Source organism: Homo sapiens, chromosome 3 (assembly GCF_000001405.40).
Source record: "Homo sapiens chromosome 3, GRCh38.p14 Primary Assembly".
Lineage (NCBI taxonomy): Eukaryota > Metazoa > Chordata > Mammalia > Primates > Hominidae > Homo > Homo sapiens.
The window spans coordinates 12,276,094-12,295,811 of record NC_000003.12 but is presented as its reverse complement, the minus strand read 5'-3'; the positions used below and the strand labels follow the sequence as shown (position 1 = coordinate 12,295,811).

The window sequence follows — 19,718 nt, the reverse complement described above, 5'->3', positions numbered from 1 at the left end:
CAGGCACGGTGGCTCACACCTATAATCCCAGCACTTTGGGAGGCCGAGGCAGGTGGATCTCCTGAGGTCAGGAGTTCGAGACCAGACTGGCCAACATGGTGAAACCCCGTCTCTAATAAAAATGCAAAAAATTAGCCAGGTGTGGTGGTGGGCGCCTGTAATCCCAGCTACTCGGGAGGCTGAGGCAGGAGAATCACTTGAACCTGGGAGGCGGAGGTTGCAGTGAGCCAAGATGGCGCCATTGCACTCCAACCTGGGCAACAAGAGCGAAACTCCATCTCAAAAAAAAAAAAAAAATTTTTTTTTGAACCTTCTTGAAAACAAACTGTAAAAATACATTATATTGCTTTTAAATAAAATCAGGATGTTTCTAATCAGTTCCAAATTCTTTAGGAAAACATGTAGTAATCCTATATTGCCAAATGCCTGGGTATTTTCTTCACTCTTCTGGATTATACTTGACATATGCAAATGATTTTTGAAGTTTCTACTTCATTTATATTGACATCATTCTTATGTTTGTTCTCCTTTATAAACTTTATCCACCATATAAAACAGAAGAATTTATATAGGTGCTTTTCTAGATGCAGTCAAAAGCTTGTTTACACAGGTAATTATCAACTGACGGAAAGGATAACATTCAGTAAGGAACACTTTGAGATTCTCTGTTTTAGATTCACAGACTTTAGCAAGACTTTGTAAAAAATGCATGACGAGTAAGCAATGTGATTAGTCATGAGGCACGAGGGTAGCCCATACCTAACTGCTAAATACCACCTATTAGCTGATTCACAGAATTATGACCTTGCTTTTGAGGTGGCTACTAAGTTTCTATTTCTAACAGAGATGCACTGGCTTGCCATACTATTTTCAGCAAAAATAAAATTAAGTATGTATAATAATAATTATTATTATTTCGAGACAGAGTTTCACTCTTGTTGCCCAGGCTGGAGTGCAATAGCGTGATCTCGGCTCACTGCAACCTCTGCCTCCCGGGTTCAACCGATTCTCCTGCCTCAGCCACCTGAGTAGCTGGGATTAAAGGCACGTGCCACCATGCCGAGCTAATTTGTATTTTTAGTAGAGGTGGGGTTTCTCCATGTTGGTTAGGTTGGTCTCAAACTCCTGACCTCAGGTGATCCTTCTGCCTCTGTCTCCCAAAGTGCTGGGATTACAGGCGTGAGCCACTGCGACTGGCCGCATGTATGATATTTTATGATCTGTGGATCTGCCAAAGGATTAAGCATTATTTATACTACCTTGGCACATCATTTTCTGAAGTGATTGAAAAGTTCCTCTCATTTCAATCTATTAGGAAGCTACTTTTAAAGCCTGGAAGAGTTGACTCATGAAGAGACCACATAATTTGTCTAACATCACAGAGGAAATACAAGATATAATGAAGTGATAATATTCAGATATTTAATTACATTAAGATAATACTAGCTCATAACTTGAACTGTGATTACATTTCTTAGTTTAATTGATGTTTCAGAATAACTGTTTTGAGGTCAAAAATGGTTCAAGGAAGATCTGCGACTTGTCTTGACTAAGAGAAAAAAAATGATGGGTAAATATATCTTTTCCTATCACTGCTATTCCAAATGGTTATTTTCCTATTTTGTTTCAAAGTTTCTGGCTTATGAGGAAACTGGGACATGCATTAACTTTATTTTTCCCTCTCCTAACCCCCTCTTTCAAACTCCAAATCTGTTTTCTACTCCTTAAAGGCCTTGTTTTCAGGTAGCAAGGAAACAAGCAACTAGCCTTTCACATTTTTGCTGATAGTGGTTTAGTGAACTAACCCTGCCAGGAACTTTGGCATTTTAAAAGTAGACCCAAAGCTTTCAAATTCAAAGACATTTTAAATTTCAATTCAAAGACATTCAAATTCAAAGACATTTTAAGAGGTGTATGACAGCCAGAGGGGTGTGGTCAAGGTTAGGAAGTTCCTTCCGGAACTTCATCATTGCACTCGAACAGTTTGACAGTTATATTTCTCCACTGCCCTCGATATGAAGGAAAATTTATTCCTTAAACATACAGGATGAAAAAGTAACCTCTTTCCATTCCCTTGCCCAAATTATCTCCTTTAGTATAGAGCCAGAAAGAATAACAGTGCTAAGTGGCAAACTGAGATGTCCTACAATGTCACCAAGAAGCAGGGTAAATTCTTAGAAATCAACCTTATATTTTAAGACTATACACAGTAATCATGCAACCTGCTGACTGTGGGAGTTGAGCATATACAGACCTGGTACATTCCTACTCAGGGTATTTCCCTATTTCTCTACCTCCCTCATATCTACCTTCTCCTTACCTGTGGCAAACTGCGAAGGACTTCTCACCCCACGTTTTTGCTAATCTGAACTCTTCTCAGAAGGTCAGATAATCTGACTCAATATGTCATATCCACACATAATCCTCCCAGATGAGTCCACAAATTAAAGTGGTTTTTTTTTAATAGTGACATAGTTAAAACCAAGCAATGAATTTATTTTCTAAAATCAATGAAGTGGAATAAAAATGCTTCCTAAACAGATATTGAATCCAACTGAACTGAACTTACACAATCTAGTTTAAATCCTGACTGGAGGGTTTAAAATCTCCACTTAATGGATTCAATTCCTTTATATCTAAAAAATCGCAGTAGGAAAAAAAATTCATGGCACTGTCCCACAAAAGATTTTCAAGTTGAGAACAGCCTGGCCACTGGAACAGTTGAAGGTATGGCAATGACTCTGAGAAAGCCTACGCTGTAGGATTAAGGCAGTGGAAGATAACACGGCTCCCCACTCCCGGACAGGGACACTCAGCCCACCTACACGCACCAGCATGAGCCTTTCTTTGCCTTCGCCTCTGCATCCTTTTAGTGAAGTCCCTACTTGGGCTTTATAGCTCCACACTGCAGTGGGCAGAGTGGCTTGCCAGTCCAGTGTGCAGTTTGGGGCCCAGAGAAGGTGGGAGAAGTCCTCTCCAACAATCCTCAGCCCCCGGGGCCCACGCACACAAGCCTCTTCACCCCATCACCCCGTGTGCTGTTACCAGTAACTTCCCATCACCAAGACACCGCTTGCAGAGGCCTCCTCTTTGGCATATTCAGTCCAAGTCCCTTACTTTCTTAAGCAGGAGACACTTCACAACAATATGTATCAACAATTCACGCGAAGAATTTAAAATTTATTATTTGGATGGTGCACAGTTAATTATATGTTTTTCCACTTACTCCCTACTAGCAAATAGGTGGGTTATTAGGAGATATCTGAACCTTTCAAGCCACTAAAACACTATTTTTTGGTGAGTGCTTGTTGAAAGAGACCCATTTTTAATGACAAGCACAAGTCACTATTTAGTCTTTTAAGTTGTGACACTAAACTGTCTTCTGATCTGATGGATCCTAGGCCTCATTATAAAACGAACTTGCTCCTGGGGAATATACGTTAAGAATTCACAAGGTGTGCCATAAAGATATGCAAAGACTAGAGCTTTATCAAATCAAAGCGCACAATCTGTGCCTTCTAGATGCATCGGATGTATAATATTAACATAAGAGGGGCTACACAGGACTCGCAAAGCTGGAATAAAAATAATTACTATGCTGATTTTTGTCCAAAGTCATCAGGGAATGGAAAATACAATTTTAAATTGAATGATAATAAAATATTCCCAGAAACAGTTTATAAATTGATCACCACATGAGAAGCATCATCTTCAATCTTAACAATCTCAAAGTTATTGAGGTTTGAACTACAGTGAACTATTAACATTGGTAAAAGAGTTAGCTATGACATAGATATTCATGAAGGTTCTTTTCAGAATATCAGCTCAATTAAATTCAGGGTCATGGTCACATCATTTAAAGTACATGGGTTTGCTCATAAAGCCTTAAAATCATAGCAAAAGAGCAAGCAATAATAACTGCAACACTTTCTCCGTTTCAAAGATGACAAAATTGAGAGAAAGGATAAGGTACTTGCCTAAGCCATAATAATTGAAACAGTTGAAAATGTAAACAGTCATACTCTGAATGAAATTCTCGGCATTAAAATATTGATGTGTACTTATTGTTGAAGAGAAATTTTAAAAATATGTAAATCTGTTTTTACAAAATAATTTAAACATATACTATTATTGATGACAGATATTATCTAAACATCTACAAAAGTTTTCCCCAAAACATGGCCTATTGCATCTGAATAGATTTTATCCCAAGAACCTACTTTAAGTGCATTAAATAAAATTTAAAACATGACATTTTAGTTAAATAACAGCTTTAAAACATATACTATATTACTCCCCCAATCTACCTCTGTATTTTGAGAAAACGCAAACAGTAAGTAAGAACTTCCAAGAAGATTTCAAATAATCTTAAATCTAAATTTTTGATTTAGAACGCTATGAAACTAACTGAAGTTGATACGCTGGGGATATCTACACTTGCAAGATGGTTGTTCACAACTCTTACTATTCTTTTGTGGAGTCAAATTAGATCCGTTTCAAAGGACCTTTGTAAGCAATTAAAATCACTGCGCTTTTTGTTGCTTTGGGATATTAAGAGAGAGTAAGCAAAGTGGAGATCTACCAGGAAAAATAAGCAAATTAGAAATTCAGTTGTGGGGGGTGCATATGTTTACGCTTACACACTAGTGACTTCACCAAGTTTTCTCTATTAGTGAGTTTTTAAAAATCCTCTACAGCTAATATTTATTTAGTGGAATCCTATGAGACCAAAAACTTCTTCCAGTACATTTGCCACACCTAATGACATACTGTATTTCCAAGTCCAAGTGACAACGAATCCAGCAGAAAGACACCCACAATTAGAATGACCAACTCTGTCCTATGCATTGGGAATATATAGATGCTAGGAAAGAAGTGAAAGTGTGGGCCAGAATGTGTGAAACATTCAGAAAATGTCATTTTAACATATTTTCCTACTTCATGAAAGCCTCTTGTTATTAATAACGATTTTATAACCTGAAAACTAAATGAAATGTATTATTAATACTTGTATATGTTCCACGGTTGTGCCTTTTACACAGCTTTCATGCACATAATTATCTTGATAATTAAGGTTAGTGGCTAACATCCTTATTGTCAGAAAATTACAGAAGAAAAAAGTATTTGTTTATATTTATATAACACTGATTAAAAACAATTCACTACGACCATTAGTAATCCACTTCTAATTCATATTCCTCATGTCACACCTTTTCTCTTGTACACATTTTAAATGTCATAGGAATTTAGAAATATTGCAATTTAAAGCATAATCTAGAATTTTTTTAAAAGTAGTTCTGAAACATACAAAAAAATGAACATTTAGGAAACTAGTCCTTCAAAGAAAATATTATATTTTATCATTAAAAATATCAATCGCAAAAATATTTTCAAAGCACTTAAGTTCAATAAAGAATATGAGGCCGGTGGACATTTTAGTTTTAATTTTAAAAAGAAATTATATTCTTTTTAATGTAAAGAAATGAGAAAACGACATCCAAAAAGTCTTCAGCCTGGGATTCTACAAAACTTTATACCTCACTGATGCCATGGTTTTACAGCAGTTATTGTTTAAGAACTAGAAACAAACTTGTAAATATGAAAAAAGTTTTTGATTTTAAAAAAAACCATCATTAGTGTTTCTCTTTTCCTTCAAGTGAGTTTTAAAAGACTGAGATGGCCACCAGTTGATTCAAAGATCTCTTAAGACATAATTATTAGCAAGTTAACTATCAAATATCATATAATTTAAATCAGGGAGAAAAATTATGTGAAGTACACAAGAAGACAAAAATGGACAGTTTTGTAATACACTTCACTTTTTGGCTGAGACATTACCTTTAAAGTTTCGTATATTAAAGTGAATATTCAAATACACTTTATTTGGAATCAAATAAAGTGTATTTGATTCCAAAGTGAATCTGATTGAAAATATACTACACAAAACTTACTTTAAAACTTGAACAGAATGTTTTGATATATTACTCCAAATGCTAACTGGTAGCATCTATGAGTGTCTTCTGTCAAACTCCCCTAGGAGTGAAAGGTATTTCTTTAAGAGAAAAGCCACAGTGAATGTCCATGCCAGTCCCTATACCAGAAAGGTTTTCTAAATCATCTAGCACCATCAGTTGGTTCTGTTCTCAGTCAGCAATCGATCACTTAGCAATAGACAGAAAGACTGCCATAAAATACCTGAAACCTGTCGAAGATTTGCCCAGGTCCTTTTAAAGAGTTAAGTTATTCATTGTTCTCTTAATAAATCCAGTTAACAATTTGTCTCACGAATGACAGAAACAGTTGGGGTTAAAATAATGTACTTCAAAATCAGAGGTTTTCCAGGAATAGGTATTATACAACTCAGTTTATCATTGTCTGGTTTTATATCCAAATGATAATTTACACAAATAAACTTTACATTTTGTCCCTAATCTTGCAAGGAAAAGAAGAAAAATTTTAGTTTCTTCATGGCAGACGACTATTTTTGACTTGATTTCTTTTATAACAATGACACTATTTTTACAACCGTTAGCCTATGACCCAAGTGAATTGGATTCTTCTTATAAAACAAGAGCACTGCAAAAAAAAATGATATAAGGATAATACAATAATTTTGCAAATTTCGGACCTATCACCAACACATTCCAACAAAATGCAATGAGAGTGAGCCAACTCACCTAAGGAAAGGGAATTAAGCAGAATGCAGAAATGCAGGCTTCTGGTCACCAGCAGAGGTTAAGGCCCCTTCCTTACCTACCACTGACCTTATATAAAAGCCGCAGCTCGGTTACTCCCCGTTTCTGACTCCTTACCTTAGGCTCCTCCCTAAACACCGAGGCGTAAAGTACCACGACTACACACCCACCTTCCACCAAGGGACCTGAGATTTCTGTTAACCTCTGCTGCCTCTACCCCCCTCAGTTAGGCTCCCAGGAGGAGTGGTCAGCGCCTGGCACTTGCAGGAGCCCACAAAGCAGCGACTTCGCCTTTCCAGCCCCCCGGGGTGCGGCTGGGGGTCCTGGCTGCGCGCTCCATCCGCGGAGGCACGGAGGCACCCAGTCCCCGTCCCCAGCCCCTCCGCCGGGCGTAGGGCCAGCACAACGCGTCAGGGCACAGGGCCTGGCCAGCTACAAGCGCGCCCCTCGCTGAACGGTCCCCCGGTCCCCAAGCGGCGGTCGCCCCTGGGCTCTGGACAGCGAACGGGACCTCCTCCTCAGCAGGGGTGCCGCGCGGCCTCAGGACGGACGCACGCGGATCTTCGCTTCCCCGGGTCCAGACACCCTGCTCCAAAGTTCCCCCGGAGCGGCTCCCGACGCTTGCGCACCTCCGCCGGGGACGCGGAGGTCCCCGTGTCCCCGGCTCCGCGCCCACCCGGCGCTCTCCCGAGGGGGGCTGTCCTGGAAGCCGGGACGCACCGGCTCGCGTCCACTCGAGTCGGCACCGGCCGCGGCTCTCTGTGCCCGCGCCCTCCGCCCCTAGTGCGCGCTCCGGTAGACGCGACCCTCAGCCCGGGTGCCCTCAGCCCAAGACCCCTTCACCCGGTCACCCGTGAGCCGCCCGCCCGCGACCCGTCAGTCCGGGTCCTGCCGGACCATGACCCTGCCTCAGCCCCGGACCCCTCAGCCGAGACCCCCTTCTCCCCAGCTCTCATCCGTCTGGGACCCCGTCAGTTCCCGTTTCCTCGGCCCTAGCCCCCAGACCCTCGGCCCCAGCCCTCCGCGCCCCCTCCCTGAGCACTCCCCGCCCAGCCAGCAGCCGGTTCCCGAGCGCCGCGGGCACCCGTACTCTGACCTGCGGCCACGGCGGCGTGGCGCCCCTCTCCGGTGTCCTCGAGGCCGACCCAAGCGCCCCAGGCGGCGGCTGCGGCTCGGGCTCGGGCTCCGAGTGCGCTGGGCCCCGCCTGCCCGCGGCGGAGCCGGGTCGGGCCGAGCCGGGCCCGGCGCGGGGGCGGGCGCGGGCGCCGGCTGGGGGTGGGGGTGGGGGTGGGGGTGGGGGCGGGGGCGGGGGCGGGGGCGGGGGCGGCGGCGCGCGACTGGGAGGGAGCGGCCCGGGCTCGGCCGCCGCCCGCGCACAGTAGGGCCCACGGCGGGAGCCACCGGCTTTCCCGCGTCCACTCTCTGCCCCGCGGCAGGCTACCTGGTGTCGTTTGCTCCTCGCCACCACCGCTGGGAGGCGGCCCAGAGAGGGTCCCATTTCCGAGGAGGGATCCGAAGTTTAGGGGGATGCCCCCGGCCAGGGCCGGTCTGGGGAGACCGAGGTGTGGGGCTCCCTCTCGGCCAGAGTGGCTTGCCCTTCACACGGCGATCGGCCAGGCCGTCTTCCCAAGATGTTCTTTCCAGTGACATTTTAAAAGAAAATTTAATTAAAGCATATTTCGGGTCCCTTGGTTTTCTCTTCTGATCGGTGGTGCTGCACACTTTCAGAGTTCCTTGCGTTTGTAAGTTACATGGTTATTCACAAGTCACTGACTTTTAATCATTAAAAACATTTCTTAAACTCATTAACAGAATTTCTTAAATTTCTTAGCAGTGTTTCTGACACCGAGGGACTCAGACAACATGGGTGGGGACGGAGTGGGGACGTGAGGCACGAGAAACAGTTTCTCATGTGTTGGGTAGACAGTGACCTTTTCTTTTCCTGCCACGCTGTCCATCGTGACCTGTCCAAAGTGGGTTGGCAGGTGCGCGTTCAGAAAGCCGCTGGTCTCCTGGACTTGAGGCCCCTCTTTCCCTTTTTCCAGTCTTATTTCTGGAGCATACTGTTCTGGGCCTGATCCTCTTTGGGGAGGCAGCGATGCCTGAGGCCCCCCACTTCAGGAAGCTTATGGACTGTATGCTGGGGTGCTCTGCATTTCTTCCTAGCTTCATTGTGGTTATTGCCCCTCTGGTACAGAAGGTCCTCGTTTGTGGTTGAAGCAAAGTTTTGCGAGGATGGGTATCACAAGGGAAAATATTCAGCGCTTAAATCAACATAATCATGTCCTTCCTCCACAGCCCCTAAGATAAGAAGCTGAGAGCCACGGATCTTACAGGGACTGACCACTGAAAGACCATTTATTGGCCTGTGATTTAGGTAGTCAGGTTGACCCGGATCCACAGTCTCCACTCAGGCGGAAGTGCTCCGTGCGTCCTACTTCTTGTTAATTCCAGAGTTCCAATCTGCTTTTTTTTTTTCTTTCTTCCTTTCTTTTCTTTCTTTCTTCCATGAGACAGGGTGTTGCTGTGTCGCCCAGGCTGGAGTGCTGTGGCGCAATCACGGCTCACTTCAGCCTCGACTTCCCGGGCTCAAGGAATCCTCCCACCCCAGGCTCCCAAGTAGCTGGGACTACAGGTGCACACCACCATGCCTGGCTAATTTTTTTTTTTAATTTTAATTGTTTAGTAGAGACTGTGTCTTGACATGTTGCCTAGACTAGTCTGAAACTCCTGGGCTCAAGTGATCCTCCTGCCTCAGCTTTCCAAAGTGCTGGGATTATAGGCACCAGCCACTGCGCCTAGCCTGCTTTTTAAAATCACAGCTTTATTGAGGAATAATTAATATAATCTAAAATGTAAATACCATAGAAGTAAAATGTACAATTCAGGCCGGGTATGGCAGCTCACGCCTGTAATCCCAGCACTTTGGGAGGCCGAGGCAGGTGGATCACTTGAGGCCGGGAGTTCAAGACCAGCCTGGCCAACATGGTGAAACTCCATCTCTACTAAGAAATACAAAAATTAGCTGGGCGTGGTGGCACGTGCCTGTAATCTCAGCTACTCGGGGGGCTGAGGCAGTAGAATCGCTTGACCCTGGGAGGCAGAGGTTACAAGCCGAGATTGCGCCACTGCACTTCAGCCCCAGAGCAAGACTCCATCTCAAAAATAAATAAATAAAATGTACAGTTCAATGAGTTTTAGTTTATTGACAGAGTTGTGCCATCATCACCAAATCTACCCTTAGAACATTTTCATCACTCCAAAAAGGAACCCCCTCTCCATTAACAGTCATTCCACCAACTCTAGATAGAGATATTCTTTCTCTATAGATTTACCTATTCTGGACAATTCATATAAATAGAATCATAGAATATGAAGTCCTTTGTGACTTTCTTCTTTCACTTAGCATAGTATTTGTGAGGCTCATCCATGTTATAGCTTATATTAATATTTCATTCCTTTTTATGGTCAATATTCCATTATACACATATACCACATTTTGTTTATTCATCCCATGAATTGATGAATATTTAGGTTGTTTCTACTTTTATGGGCTATTATGAATAATGCTGCTGTGAGCATTCATGTACAAGGTTACTTGTGGACATATATTTTTATTTCTCTTGAGTATATACCTAGGGACAGAACTGCAGGATCATAAGGTAACTCGGTGTTTTTGAGGAACTGCCAGTCTGTTTTCCAAAGTGGGCACACCATTTTACAATCCCACCAGCAATGTGTCAGGGTTCCAGTTTTTCCACATCCTTGTCAACACTTGTTATAGTCTTTTTTATTTTAGCCAACCTAAAGGGTATGAAGTGATATCTCATGGGGTTTTGTTTGTTTGTTTGTTTTGAGACAAGGTATTGCTCTCTCACCCAGGCTGGAGTGCAGTGGTGCAATCATAGTTCACTGCAGCCTCGAATTCCTGGGCTAAAGCAATCCTCCCACCTCAGCCTCCCAAGTGGCTGGGACAACAGGTGCATGCCACCACACCAGCTAATTTTTGTATTCTTTTGTAGAGATGGGATCTCACTATGTTGCCCGAGCCGGTGTCTCATGGTTTTGATTTGCATTGCCTTGGTGACTATCCCGTTGAGCATCTTTTCATGTGTTCATTGGCCATTTATCTTTTTTGAAGAAAGTCTGCTTAAATCCTTTCCCTGTTTTTAAATTGGATTATTTTTCTTTCTATTGTTGAGTTGTGAGAGTTATTTATTTATATAGTCTATATCCGAGTCTCTTATCAGATACATGATTTGCCAATATATTATTCCAGGCTGTAAGTTGTCTTTTTACATTTTAAAATAATTATTTATTTATTTATTTATTTATTATTTATTTATTTATTTAAAGACGAGGTCTTGCTATGTTGCCTAGGCTGGTCTTGAACTTTAGGGCTCAAGTGATCCTCCTGCCTCAGCCTTCTGAATAGCTGGAATTACAGGCAGATGCCACCATGCTTGGTTCTTTTTACTTTCTTGATGTTGTCATTTGAGTTTTTAATTTTGATGAAGTCCAGTTTACCTGTTTTTTCTTTTGGTGTCGTGTCAGTGACTAACCCAAAGTCATGAAATTTGCTCCTAATGTTTATTTTAAGAGTTTTATAGGTTTAGTTCTTACCTTTAGGTTTTAAATTCATGTTGAGTTAAATTTTGTATATGATGTGAGATGGGGGCCAATCTGTTTTTTTGGTCGGAAAATTCCCATAATTCAACAACAGTGACTAAGGGGAACCCCACAACAGTGAATTCGTAAGTGGTGCAAAACTTTAGAGTTGAGCTGAATATTTTCTAAATTCCCTCTGGATCAAAAATTTTGTGATTTTTTTTTTTAAGGAGACTTATGGGTAGTGAAGTGTATAAATGTAAGAGGTTAAGTAATGTAAACTGAAATAATATGTCTGTTTTTCAAATTGCAAGGCTTGATTTAGTAGGTTATGAAATCAATTTATTCAGTCATAATCAGTATTTTTTAGTCAAGCAAAAAGGACAGAAATAATCAGAACATGCCTACTGTATTAAAGAAAGTGCTGCTTCGTAACTTTTGTGTAATGCATGTGTGTGTGTATCTGAGTGTACCAGGAGTTGGTATAAAATGTGGTTTTTACTGTGGGCCATATCTTTTAAAGTTGGAAAAACACTGTATAAACTATAGCTGTAGAATTCTTTCTTTCCACAAACATTTTATTGAGTGCTTATTTTGTGCCAGGCCCTCTGCTAAGTGCGGGGAATAAAATGATAAACAGCACATGGTCCCCACCCTGCAACTTTGCACATAGGCAGTGCCATCCATATGGGGTTCCTAGAGACGAAAGACTATGCCCGTTTCAATTTTTCCAAACCACAAGGACTCCTTCCAAATATTGGTGTTTGGTCCCATGGTCCCATGGTCCCATGGGACTTCTTTTTTTTTTTTTTTTTTTGCAATTAATGCTTAGTTGATTATCTCATTTGAGATTTGCATACATATTTGCTTTTCTTTCAATAAAGAGGACTTTGTTCCCAGGTTTATAATTACATACTATGTTTATTATATTAAGAAGAGAGTGCAAGTCTAGAAATAGAAGTTTACCATAACTGAATTGTTTTCCATTTTACTCCAGCTATATTTAAACTGGTCTCACTGGACAGACCTCAGATATTTTATAGTAGTGTTATGCTACTTCTTAAAGGAAAAATTTAAAATTGTAGCAAAACTTTTTCATTATCATCCGAGTGTTCGGCAAAACTGGGCATTGAGAATAGTGACATGTAAACCATTTTGCAGACTGAGTTTAGGAAAGTTAGTGTGCTGTATTTGAAGTCAAGCAATCAAGCCACTCATTTATAGCAGCTGTGTATCATCATAGCGCTGACATTTGCTCCTTCTCTTTATCTGAGACACCATTTATCAATCTCTAAGCCTTATAAATTCCCAGGAGGTTTAGAAGATCTTAATTTAAAATTTCAAAAATCATAACCAGTTGAACATGCCAGGCAGGTTAAACATACACATATGCACACACACACACTTCCACAAATGTATCTACTTTTTGAATGACTCTGACATGTTCCCACTTGTGATTTTTATGTCTAGTTATGAAATTTTACCCACAACCTCCCAATTTTACTTTGAATTTCATTAAGGTCCTTTTCTCCTCCTCTGTTTATTCTGCCTCCTCCGATGTTGCCCTTCACAAAATAACTTGCTCATCTCTTACAAGGTCTTAAGGACCAAAGCCAGATTTACAGCCTTTTCTTCTAACTTAAAATTGCTTGATCTTCTCATATACTGTATCCCTCTGCTTCACTCAGCATTCTATTTCTATTTTGAATGGTTGCCTATAAATAAATAAAAATTTCTGGGACATTTTAATGGAAATATTAATCTTGATTATATTCAAGTCAAGAATATAATATAGCTATGTATTGGTTCGAAAAACCCACTGAGAGGCCAGGCGCAGTGGCTCACGCCTATAATCCCAGCACTAGGCCAAGGTGGCCGGATCACTTGAGGTCAGGAGTTTGTGAACAGTCTGGCCAACATGGTGAAACCCCATCTCTCTACTAAAAATACAAAAATTAGCTGGGTGTGGTGGTGTGTGCCTGTAATCCCAGCTATTTGGGAGGCTGAAGCAGGAGAATCACTTGAACCTGGGAAGTTGCTGTGAGCCAAGATCGCACCACTGCACTCCAGCCTGGGGGACAGAGGTGCGATAGCACCAAAAAAAAAAAAAAAAAAAAAAAAAAGAAAGAAAGAAAAGAAAAAAAACCATGGAGAATATAGCCAAATTAGTAATTTTTCTCTTGATACACCAACGTGGAGCTTTCCTCTAGGTAATTTTTTAAAATGGAAAGAAATATAATAACACCCTTTTAAAAGCACTGAATGAAATAACTCCTTTTTTTTTTACTCATCTATTTTTGAAAACATTTTATTTTATTTTTTATAGTTTGGAAACGCCTATGAAATTAATAATGACATTTAATTTCAGAGAGATTTCACTTGGTAATTTCAACAGTTTTGAGTTAGACTATTTACATTTTAAGATTTTAATGGTTTAAGACACATTTGAAAGGTTCAAAAGTGCTTTTGGTTTTCAGGGAATAAAAAAAGAGCCATTTGTCCTGCTTTCTCATTTTTTCTCCACTTTTCCCCCTAAAAATGGACCTACTTTGGGTATCAGTTTATCCTCTAAGTATCAAGAGGTAGGAAGCCGACTGAGTAGAAGTTAGGATGATGGGAACTCATGATTTTCTTGGAGGGGCAAGTCCTGCTTTCTAGTTGTCTTCTCCTTTCTGAAGAAAGAAATTCTGTTTTAATCAAGTACTGGTGTAAAGGAAAGAACCCCGGGCTTTATTTCTGCTGGTTGTGACTTTGAACAAGAGATTCAACCTCTCTGAGGCTTAGTTTCCTCATCTGTAAAATGGCAATATAATATATTCTCAGGCCAGGACTTTGAGGCTACAGTGAGCTGTGATGGTGCCACTGTACTCCAGCCTGGGCGATGCAGCAAGACCCTGTCTCTAAAATATACATACACACACACACACACACACACACACACACACACACACACATATATACACACACACACGCACACATATTTTTATATATATTTATATATATTCACAGATGTTTGTGTATGTCTATATATATTTTAGAGACAGGGTCTCTAAAATAGGAATATATATATTATTAGAAAACAAAGAATATACACATATATATTCTCTTAATCTCATCAGTGAGATAACAGGAGGAATTACCAAATCAGGCTCCCAGTAGGAACTCAATAAATGTTATTTACCATCTGGATGAAAGCATTGAGAATACTTTTACTGCTAGTCACTCACTAATCTGAAATAGTCACTCATTAATATTAAAACACAGTTTGGATGTTAAAATCTTTAAAAATATATGTTTCCTCTTTAGTTATCAGTCTACATGGACATTCTACTCTCTTTTTTGCATGTGAAAAAAAAGTCATGAGTCTAGTGGGTAGACTTTGAAATAGCTATGAATCTGAGATTTCTGCATGAACATGGTCTTCTCAGGACACTTGTGTGAATTTATAGATTCTGCTTTGTCTTATAAAACTAAACACAAAACCAAAAACTTTTTATTATGGAAAACACTAGACTATATAAAAGTAGGCAGAATAGTCTAATGAACCCCCCACGTACCCTAACCCAATGTCACGCCCTGGGCAATCTTGTTTCATCTGTACCCTCACCCACATCCCTCCCTGCTCTACATTTCTGAAGGAAATCCCAGACAATGCATTTCATCATAAAACCTTCAAACTCTGTTAAATGTTGTTTTTATAAGTCTTCTGTTTAAACGTTGGTCAGAATAATTTGCTCTGGGAGAGTTTGGATTTATCAGAAAAGTTTCTCTACTGAAATATTTTCAACCCTTGACGTCTATCATGGTCGAATTGTAAAGTGTGTTAATTGCCGAGAGGACTTGTGTGCACGCTACAGCTTCCGGAAGACCTAAGGACACAAGCATGCTCGGGCTAAGAAATGCTCAAGGAATCTAGACCTGGGGAAAGACAGGGTAGTTTCAGTTACTGAAAAAAAACAAACAACAAAAAGCGTGTCTGTGCCAAGAACAGATTACAGCAGAGCTGGGTCCCCTAAGCTTTGGGATAACTGGGTGGGGCTTGGGTTGGCAGATCCCTGGGGGGCAGTCACTTTCTTGCACCTTTCTTGACCCCTTTTTGTTTATACATTGGGAAGCAACATGTGGCCCTCATCTTCCACTTCTGCTGCGTTTCTCTCTTCGGAATACCTTCCGGAAGACCTTACTGGGAAGTCACTTTGTTCATCTGTGCTTCTGCACTGCTCTAACACTTGTTATATGTCAGTATAGATTGCTGTGGAAATGTCTATCTTCCCTTACTAAGATGTAAATGCCCTGACAGCAGAAGCCACGGTTGATTAATCTTTTTATGCCCAGGACTCACTGTACTACAGCACCTGAAATCAAATAAGCGGACAATCAATGTTTGTTGAATGATTGATTGCCGAGTGACTAGCTTGTAAATCCAAACCTACTCTTAAGGAAATAATTCAAATGTTGCCCCCTAAGAGCCTTCCATCACTGTCATTCTTCATACTCTTAACAGCTTTATTTTTTGTCATATGAGTTATCATTGCCTGAAATTATATATTTGTTTAACTTTTACTTGTACATCGTCTGCCTTCCCACACTAGAGGGTAACTCCAAGAAGGCAGGGATTTTTAAATTCACTATTGTAACCTCAGCACCTAGCGCATGGCAAGTGACTAGCACCTAGCGAACAGCTCTCAATGAATCTGTATTATTGAAATAATGGTGATGTCATCAATTCAGTCACCATTACAAGTTGTATTTTCAGTTGAGCGTGGTGGCCCACACCTGTAAATTCTAGCACTTTGGGAGGAGGAGGCAGGCATATCACTTGAGGTCAGGAGTTCAAGACCAGCCTGGCCAAAATGGTGAAACCTCGTCTTTACTAAACATACAAAAATTAGCTGTGCGTGGTGGCGTGCACTTGTAGTCCCAGCTACTCGGGAGGCTGAGATACAGTAGTCCTAGCTACTTGGGAGGCTGAGGCTGAGGCTGAGGCTGTAGTCCCAGCTACTCCGGAGGGTGAGGCTGAGGCACAAGAATCACTTGAACCTGAAAGGCGGGGTTGCAGTGAGCCGAGATTGTGCCACTGCACTCCAGCCTGGGTGACAGAGGCAGACTCCGTCTAAAAAAATTTAAATAAATAAATAAAAATAAGAGGCCAGGCGTGGTGGCTCACGCCTGTAATCCCAGCACTTTGGGAGGCCAAGGCGGGCAGATCACCTGAGGTGGGAGTTCAAGACCAGCCTGACCAACATAGAGAAACCTCGTCTCTACTAAAAATACAAAAAATTAGCCAGGCAAGGTGGTGCATGCCTGTAATCCCAGCTACTGAGGAGGCTGAGGCAGGAGAATCACTTGAACCCAGGAGGCGGAGGTTATGGTGAGCGGAGATCGTGCCATTGCACTCCAGCCTGGGCAACAAGAGCGAGACTCCATCTCAAAAAAAAAAAAAAAAAAAAAAGAGAGGTTGTATTTACATTTTTATATGCCTATAACATTGATTAATATTCCCTTAGTTAAGTCCCCAGCTGCTGATTTTTGCATTACTTAGGTAGCCACAGGCTTTTCTGTTTTTATAAACAAAAAACTGTTTTGAACATTTGGACCCATGTGCCAGTTTGGCTCTTGATACATTGAATACCTACTGTTGACACATAATTTATATTTTGAGCCAAGTCTGAGGACTGAGAAGGCTCAAGACCAAGGCTTCCTAACAGAGTGATTTCAGATAGGCTGTTCCCACTATGATTGTTCAGTAATATAACTTCCCTTTCCCTGTGCCTATTTCTTAAATGCCTGAGGGTAAGGATGTGAGCCAAGCTGCCCGCAGACTTCTTGCTCCCAGGGCCTTCAGGAGAGCTCTCTTTCTGGTCTTCGGTTGGAGCCCCTCTCTGGGGGTGACGCTTTGGCATTGGCAGAGCTCTGTTTTGCATTTCTGCTGGATTTTTAAATGTTTGGGTATCTGGTAGATAGTCATGAATTGCATTTAAAAGTTTAGACACTTTTGTACAATAGTAAGAGGAGGTAGAAGAGGGAGTTAAGGAGGTGTGAGGGCTTCACTGAAGAGTGATATTTGGTTTACTGACATTGTGTTTTGGCGGCATCTCTTCCTACCACCATAACATGGACACTTTTTTCCTTCTCAAAGTATTTTTCTGATTTTAATCTATAACATTCATTTATTCTCTTAGTAAAAGTGCAGTACGTAAATTTCTTTCAGATCAATTTCTGCACACCTTAGTATGCAGTTTTTATTTAAAAATTATTTCTATAGTAGTAAGAAGTTAACTCTTCCTAGTTTTAAAAAGATAAATTTGATTGACCTTTTTAACTGTTCTTCCACCAAATGGAACTGCAGTAGTCTAGATTATTTGTATAATTTATTAATGATTGAAAGTAAACTGTTAGCCTTTAAGGCATTGTTTACTATGGCTCTATAAAACACAGTTATCACTGTGATTCTTCAGTAATGTAATCCAAGTATCTCCATACATTTCCAAAAACTTTTAAAAAATCTGTCACATAGCATGCTTAAAGGAGGCAATGTTGCATAAGACATATTTATAAGCCACAAGATTATTAACGATTTAATATATGGGCAACTCAAGTCAGTACAACTAAATAATGAAAGGATATTTGAATCAGGGGAAAAACAAAACTAAAAAAAAAAGAAAAAGAAATTACAAAAGGGGAAAAACAAAACTAAAAAAAAGAAAAAGAAATTACACACTTAGCCTTTTATGAAAACAACAACTTTTTTCTTTTCTTTAAAACTACTTTAAAAATTACAGAATATAAGTTTCTTGTAAAGGTCAAGCCACTTGTATGCAAATGTTTGTAGCAGCATTATTCATAATAGCCCCAAAGTGGAAACAACCCAAATGTCCATCAACATTGTGTGTATCCAATGTATATGCCACACTGGATACAGAAAATGTGGTCTACATAGCCAATGGAATGTTACTCAGACAAAGAAAAGGAGTGAAGTACTGATACATCTACCACATGGATGAGCCTCAAAAACATTACACTAGGTGGGTTGGGCGGTGGCTCACGCCTGTAATCCCAACACTTTTGGAGGCCGAGGCTGGCGGGTCATGAGGTCAGGAGTTCAAGACCAGCCTGGCCCATGTCGTGAAACCCCGTCTCTACTAAAAATACAAAAAATTAGCCAGGCGTGGTGGCGGGTGCCTATAATCCCAGCTACTTGGGAGGGTGAGTCAGGAGAATTGCTTGAACCCAAGAGGCAGAGGTTGCAGTGAGCCGAGATCGCACCACTGCATTCCAGCCTGGGTGACAGACTGAGACTCCATCTCAAAACAAACAAACAAAAAATTACACTAAGTGAAAGAAGCCAGGCACTGGCCAAAAACTGTATGGTCCCTTTTGTATGAAATGTCTGGTATGGGCAAATCCATAGAGGCAGAAAATAGATTAGTGGTTGCCAGGAGTGGGAGAGAGGAGAACACAGGGAATGACTGATAACGGATGCAGTTTCTTTTTGGGGTGAAGTGTTTTGGAATTAGAGAGTGGTGATGATTACACAACTTTTGTTTTTTTTTTTCTTTTTTTGAGATGGAGTTTTGCTCTTGTTACCCAGGCTGGAGTGCAATGGCGCAATCTCGGCTCACCGCAACCTCTGCTTCCTGGGTTCAAGCAGTTCTCCTGCCTCAGCTTCCCGAGTAACTGGGATTACAGGCTCCCGCCACCATGCCTGGCTAATTTTGTATTTTGTAGTAGAGACGGGGTTTCTCCATGTTGGCCAAGCTGGTCTCAAACTCCTGACCTGAAGTGATCCACCCGCCTCGGCCTCCCAAAGTGCTGGGATTACATGAGTGAGGGACCGCGCCCAGCCACAACTTTATTAAATATACCAAAGCCCATTGAATTATACATTTTAAAGGGTAATTTTATGTGATGTTAATTATGTCTCAATTTAAAAAATGTTTTTAATGATACTGACAAAAAATGATTATTTCTATCCTCCCTTTACTAAATAAGAACTAGCATGTTTTTAGCTTCCCCTTTCCACCCACCTACCCTGTTTTGTCATTCTGTTATTCCAGGGCTGCAGCATATTGATGTGCAGTTTAACTCTGCTGGAAGGTAGCCAGCCAAGTGGATGAAGCGGGGCTGAAATCCTAGCAGTGTGTTCATCCTACCTGAAAGAAGGGATATCTTTGCCTAATTCATTAAAAAATCGCCTATAACCTAGCAGTGGCTTTGATCTTTTTCAAAACACTTTCCTCCCTTCCTCCCTTCCTTCCTTCCTCCCTTCCTTTCCTCCCTTCCTCCCTCCCTCTTTGTCTCTTTCTCTGTTTTTCTTTCCTTCCCTTTCTCTCTCTCTCTCTTTCTTTCTTTCCTTTCTTTCCTTCTTTCTTTCTCTCTCTCTTTCTTTCTTCTTTTTCTTTCTCAGGGTTTCTC

The 19,718-nt window shown here is 41.2% G+C and overlaps 1 protein-coding gene across 11 annotated transcripts in view, besides 1 other annotated feature; it reads right to left on the bottom strand.

Moving 5' to 3' along the window:
* The window catches only part of PPARG (peroxisome proliferator activated receptor gamma), a 146,977-nt gene extending 138,533 nt beyond the window's left edge, over positions 1–8,444 (bottom strand). For 5 of the 11 annotated variants that reach the window (NM_001374262.3, NM_138711.6, NM_001330615.4 and 2 more), the window contains exon 1: positions 6,678–6,742. The gene's annotated coding sequence lies outside the window, so the exon portion shown is untranslated. Of the gene's footprint in view, positions 1–6,677; positions 6,753–7,791; positions 7,939–8,136 lie in introns of those variants that run through there. The other 6 variants (NM_138712.5, NM_005037.7, NM_001374261.3 and 3 more) reach the window with 4 other exon arrangements.
* Positions 8,181–8,759: an enhancer, noted in NCBI's record as "H3K4me1 hESC enhancer chr3:12328552-12329130 (GRCh37/hg19 assembly coordinates)". NCBI's record gives its function as "activates a minimal SCP1, AML or CMV promoter by ChIP-STARR-seq in primed H9 embryonic stem cells {active_cell/tissue: H9 hESC(primed)}" and the evidence as "EXISTENCE:reporter gene assay evidence [ECO:0000049][PMID:30033119]".